Below are 6,260 nucleotides of genomic sequence, written 5' to 3'. Positions count from 1 at the left end.
CGACTTTGCTCATTTCTTTCAATTCTTTTTGCTTTATTTTTGTTTGATCGAGTTAATTTTAAAGGCTTATCTTCAAGCTCTGAAATTCTGCCTTCTAGTTGGCCTAGTCTATTATTAAAACTTTCTACTGCATTCTGTAATTCCCTAAATGTGTCTTTCATTTCCAGAAGTTCTGGTTGGTTTGTCATTACAATATCTATCTCTTTAGAAAATTTCTTATTCATATCCTGAATTGTTTTTTTTTTTAGTTTATGTTGAATTTCACCTTTCTTTTGTATCTCCTTGAGTAACTTAATAATCAACCTATTCTTTACCTGGTATGTCAAATATTTCATCTTGGCCTAGGTCCATTGCTGGAGAGCTAGTATGATCTTTTGGGTATGTTATGGAATCCTGTTTGGTCATGTTGCCAGAATTATTTTTCTGGTTCCTTTTTATATTGGTAGACTATTTCTTCTAATTATTTTTAAGTTTATTTTTAATTTGGCTGTGTTTTTTTTTATTTCTTTTTTCTCCCTTTGAGGGTATATTTTTAATGATTGTGGTTTATAGTAACCTAATTTGGCTCTGGGTGCTTTCAGGGATGAAGACTCTGTATGAGTTCCTTGTTTATAGAGAGTCTTTATATTATGGCCTTTTCAGCTGCTGGTTGTAGTGACAATGTGCTCAGTGTATGAGCAGGTTCATTGTTTCCTGTGTGGTTGAAAGGGCAGAGTTCTCTTGAAGTTTATCTTATTCCCCAGTGGTGTGCATTTATTTATTTATTCTCCCCCTCTACCCGCCAGGATTTTATTTACTGAGTTGAACAGTTCAGGCTTCAGCCCACTAGGGGAGGTGTTTATGGGTAAAAATCAGCTGTGGTTAAAGCAGATGGGTAAATGCCATATTCAGTGGTGGACAGAGGTTCCAGACTTGACAGAGGCAGCTCAGGGAGCTCTTAGTGAAACAGACTGAGGTATTTTCAGGCAGAAAGGAGAGAACCACCTCAGCTCCCCTACCAAGCCAGTAATCTGCCTCCCAGTCACACCCTTGACCCAATGTTTGGCTATTCAGATCAGACAAGTGCCTCTTTTTATCTGTAGGAATGCTGATGTTCTTTGTAGAGAAGGATTATGACTCTAACCTTTATACAAGCCTGAACTTGGAGGACACTCCTCCTATGGGGATGCAATCACTCTGCAGTGTTTCAAAGAGGCTGTCTACAGGTGCACCCATGCTGAGATCCCATGGGAGAAGCCCCAGTGAGCTGTTTCTGCAGTGGTGGGTGAGGGAAATAAGAAGACCCTTTTCCAAGACCTTTCATGAACACCAGGCTGCCTGACTGTTGGGGAAGAGCCACAGACTTTCCCCACTGAGCCCAGCACTGCACCTTTGCCTCTGTTGAAAAAATCTTCCCACAAGCAGAAAGTTCAGAAAAGCAAGTCCTGCCCTCTGGATTATAATGTCCCACAGGGTGCTCCCTTGATGTACTACATTCCCCCTTCCCCTAGAAGTAGGAGTCCTTGAGGACCAGACTACTGTGAATCCTGCTGTTCCTCTGGGTCTAGCCACCCAATGGTACTGCCACACTCCAGGCTGGTACTGGGGAATTTCTGCAAGGGATCCAGAGATGTGACCTGTCCTCTAGTCTCCCAGAAGCAGGTACTAGCACCAGCTCTGATGGGGGTGGCAGGGGAGTGATGCAGACTCTGAAATTCTTTGGTTATAAATAGCCTTAGTTCATTGGCTTCCTCAAATAATGGTTGTAGTAGTAATGAATTGGTCACATGGACAGACTCAGGACCTCCTGGCTAGCAAGGTTCATGCAGGCAATAGTGATAAGCTATGATCGTACACAAGTTTCCTCCTTCTTAGGTGCAATGTTGTTGTGCCTGCAGATGCTGTAATGGACTGTGTCAGTTGGCCTCCAGCCAAGAGGTGGCACTTGCCAAAGAGCACCAGCTCTGGTGGCAGGAGTGGAATATGTGCTTGCCTTATATCACCCAGGGGAAGCATTCTGGTGTCTCAGGCAATGGGCAGGGCATAAAGCTCCCAAAACTTCTGTCGCTTGTGTTATGCTACCAGGAGCGGTGGAGGGGCAAAGTCAGATAGGAGCTAGGTCAGGCAAGTCCACACTGGCTCCAGTCATGTGGGGCAAGCAGCAGTCCCAGTGGGGATAGGAGGGCAGTTCCCTAGCCACTGGAGTAATGTTCCAGGGAGGAGCACAGCTGCCTCTGCTGCACAGAAATGTCCACCCAGGGAGTGGGGAGTAACAGGCATGCACTTGGCAAGGCAAGTCTCACACCACAGTGTTCCACTAGCAGCAGCTAGCTAGGTTCCGGGCAGTCTGTGCTCAGAACTCAAATCTGCCCCAGGCCATAAGCCTTCCCCATGGAGACAGAAACCGTGGCTTTCAAGCCATGCAGTTCCCAGTCTGCTCGTGAAACAGGAGCACCCACCTCCTGTGCCCCTGGCTACAGCCCACTTCCCATTCACCCCTCAGTTCTGGCCACGGTAGTTTATCCCTGCTTGAGATTATATTACAAATCTCAGTTGGGAGCTTCTCTCAACCTATAACCACTGCCTGAGTTAGCTGGCGGACTTCCACAAGGTCCCCTGAGAAGTAGGATCAGGAATGGCTTCCCTCCATCCCTACTGGAGTCTAAGAGTGCACGCAAAGCATGTCCTGATGCCGCTCCTCATCTTCTCCCTACCACTCACTAAGTCAGCTGCAGCATTGAGTAGGGTTAAGGCCTTTCCCCCATGGCCTGGATTGCCTGGCTCCCCTGTGGGAGTATATATCCCAGAGGCAGTTTATCCCCTTCTCCCACTCTAGGGACTTAAACAATTTTCTGCCTGGTTCACAGTGCAGGTTGCAGCCCATCACTTCTTTCAAAGGTTCTGGGGTTTCTTTCAGTTTTCCTGTTAAGTTTCTGTGTTGCTTCCTGGAAAAAAGTTCACAGCATGAATGTCTACATACTATTTTGTCTTTCCAAGTGAGAGAGGCATGCTAACAATGTTTCCAAGCTGCCATCTTGGACCTAACTGGCATCTTCTTTTGTTTCAGTTATGACAATTTAGAGTGGCTGCTCATGCTCTTTGTCTGCCTTTGCATTTTTTTACATCCACCTACCAGTATTTTGGAAGAAAACAAAGAAACAGGATTGTGGAAAGATAGTAGGCCATGAAAACATAGAGACCTCCTTCCACAGACATTTAAAATGCAAAACCATGAAAGTGTGTGTCTGAGCTTGGTGGGAGTAAGGGGGTAAACTCCAGGTGCAGAAATAAAGCAGGAACTGAAAACTAGGGTGGTAATTATGTGAGCAGATGCTGTGATAGTCCAAGGCATGTTTATTAGTCTCCATAATCCTCTTGAGTTTCACTTCCTAAGGAGAGGTAGATGGTAATTCCTTCAGGCCTATGTGAGGTAAAGTTGAAACTGAAAATCTCTCTGTAAAACCAAGAATCTCAAAGGGACACCCCTCAGTGAAGCAGGGAGAAGGCCAGAAAGACTTTCGCTCAGTGAAAAAACATATATGTCACTAAGAAATCAAAACCCTGGTTCTATACCTCGCACAAGCTAAGGACTGGAATCATATAACCCTCGTAGTCTAGGAATTCCCATGCCAAAAAATTAACATTAGAAATTAGTCCATGCAGGTCCTTCCCATGTGTGCAGGACACAAAGCTACTATCGAAGGACACTCCTATAACATATATAACATGGGATTACCAAAAAGCAGCCAAGCCCCACACAACCCATCATTAGTGAATGTCAAAAGACAGACAAAAAGAAGGTCAGCTACACCCCCAATGACTTGAGATGAAAGAGCAACCAGAAAAAGATGATAAAATCAGTACATTTAAAAGTATTCAAAACATATCCTATGAAAATACCAAGAAAATAAGACCCTAAGAGAAAAAAGTGGAGATTTTACAAAATCTAAATGGAACTTATAGAAAGAAAAAAATATATAGTCCTTGAGATTTTGGTAAAACATGACAGATTTAACACAAGCGCTTATTCTACTTCTGAAACCCGACCAAAATGAAAGTAAAGAAAAATTTTTTAAAGGCTTAAATATGTAAGGTCATGACAATGGAAGAGAAGACAATAAATGCCAACAAAATTTTGGAAGCTAGAACTAGGATCAATAAATGATAGTTGATTTATTGAGCTGGAGAAAGTAGAAATCCAAACCTATGGTGTTGATGTGAGAGAGAGAGTGGTGGAAAATAAAGGAAATGAAAAATAATCAAGGTAATTCAAGTTACTGAACCCCAGGAAGTCAAGTAATTAAGAGCACCAGGACCTCTAAAGACAGGGAGAGCAGCAGACCAAAGAAGAATTGGTTGGAAATCTTTAAAAAGTAAGATTAAATCCCCCAAATACTCTTCTAACACCCAAGTAGCCAAGTGGCTACTTCTAATTCACCAGGCAGAAGAGTGCAAGTTAAACCAGACAAGTCTGGACTTGTGGATGCCAGGCGCTACTGAGGACACATGCTGAAAACAGAAGAATTAAAAGAAAGTTTACATACTGCAAAGGGAGATGCCCTCACTTTTAGCCCCCTCCCTCTGCCCAGTTCCCGGCATGCTGGCAACCAACTTAATGCAATGCTAAAATGAAAGAGAAAATATTAAAAGTAAAAACAACAAAGAAATACATATTATTTACAAGAAACAAAAATTAGACAATTATCAGATTTATCAACAGCAACATTTAAGGTGGGATGGTCAACAATTCTAGTTTTCCTGAGACTGAGAAGATTTCAAGGTCTCCGGACTTTTTAGTGCTGAAATCAGGAAAGTCTTCATAAACTGAGACAAGTTGGTCACCCTAATGCAATGCAAGAAGACAACAAAAAAGTATCTTAAAAGTGCCAAAGGAAAAAAGGAAAAAAAAATCTGTATACCTTGAATTCTCTATATATCTAAAGTACCCACAATTGACTGAGAAATTAAGAAATTTTCAGACAACTATGACTAAAGAGTTTACTGTTTGTAGACCCTTGCAAAACAATTACTAAATGATATATTTTAGAAAGTGGAAAGTTGAATCCAAAAGGATGGAGTGGAAGGCAAGAAGCAATTATGAACAAATAAATTGTTAAACATCTAACAAATCAAAATAATGATAGACTATATAAAATAGTATTAATAATGATGACTAACTTAGGGCATATGGAAATAGAATGAAAATAAATAAAAATCACAGTGGACTAAAGGGAGTTCTTATATTTTTCTAGGGGTTGAGTAGTGATTATGATAACATTAGAAATTAAGTCAACTGTGATGGTTAATATTAGGTGTCTACTCTACTGGATTGAGAGATGCCTAGATGGCTGAAGAAGCATTGTTCCTGGTGTGTCTGAGAGGGTGTTACCAATGGAGAATGACATTTGAGTCAGTGGACTGGGAGAGGAAAACCCACCCTCAACGTGGGTGGGCACCATCCAATTGGCTGCCAGCTCAGCTGGAAGAAAGAGAGAGAACCTTCCCACTCTCTCTCTTCCCATGCCATGCTGGACACTTGGCTTCCTCTCCTGCCCTTGGACATCAGCCTCCAAGTTGTTTGGCCTTTGGACTCTGAGACACCCATCAGAAGCCCCTCCCCCTGGTTCTCGGGCCTTTAGCCTCAGAGAGAAGGCTACACTGTTGGCTCCCCTGGTTTTGAGGCTTTCAGACTTGGACTGAGCCACACTACTGGCTTCTCTCTTTCTCCAGCTTTTATCTCAAGGGAAGCCCGTGAGACTAACAGCAGAACTCTCAGCAGAAACTCTACAAGCCAGAGGATATTGGGGGCCAATATTCAACATTCTTAAATAAATAATTTAAAGTTAAAGTTAGTAGGGGTCAGGTGTGGTGGCTCACATCTGTAATCCCAACACTTTGGGAGACCCTGGTGGAAGGATCACTTGAGGCCAGGAGTTTCAGACCAGCCTGGACAACATAGTCAGACCCATCTTTACAAAACAATTAAAATATTAGCTGGGTGTGGCAGTGTGTGGCTTTAGTCCTAGCTACTTGGGTGGCTGAGGTGGGAGAATCTCTTCAACCCAGGAGTTGGAGGCTGCAGTGAGCTATGATTGTACTACTGTACTCCAGCCTGGGAGACAGAGGAATACCTTGTCTCATAAAATAATAAATAAATGAATAAAGTTAATGAGAATAAACCTACCCTGCACTCACAAGAGGTGCAGCTGGCATCATCGTTCTTGCCTACCAGACCATAAACATCTTGAAGGCAGAGCACAAGTTTCTTGTATTATAGTCAT

The 6,260-nt window shown here is 42.7% G+C and overlaps 1 annotated feature.

The window, feature by feature from the left end:
* Positions 872-1,011: an enhancer, noted in NCBI's record as "active region_6236". NCBI's record gives its function as "activates an Ori minimal core promoter by ATAC-STARR-seq in GM12878 lymphoblastoid cells {active_cell/tissue: GM12878}" and the evidence as "EXISTENCE:reporter gene assay evidence [ECO:0000049][PMID:35858748]".

Source organism: Homo sapiens, chromosome 12, assembly GCF_000001405.40.
Source record: "Homo sapiens chromosome 12, GRCh38.p14 Primary Assembly".
Classification (NCBI taxonomy): Eukaryota; Metazoa; Chordata; class Mammalia; order Primates; family Hominidae; genus Homo; species Homo sapiens.
Note: the sequence above shows the minus strand (reverse complement) of the source record. Positions and strands in the feature narration are given on the sequence as shown.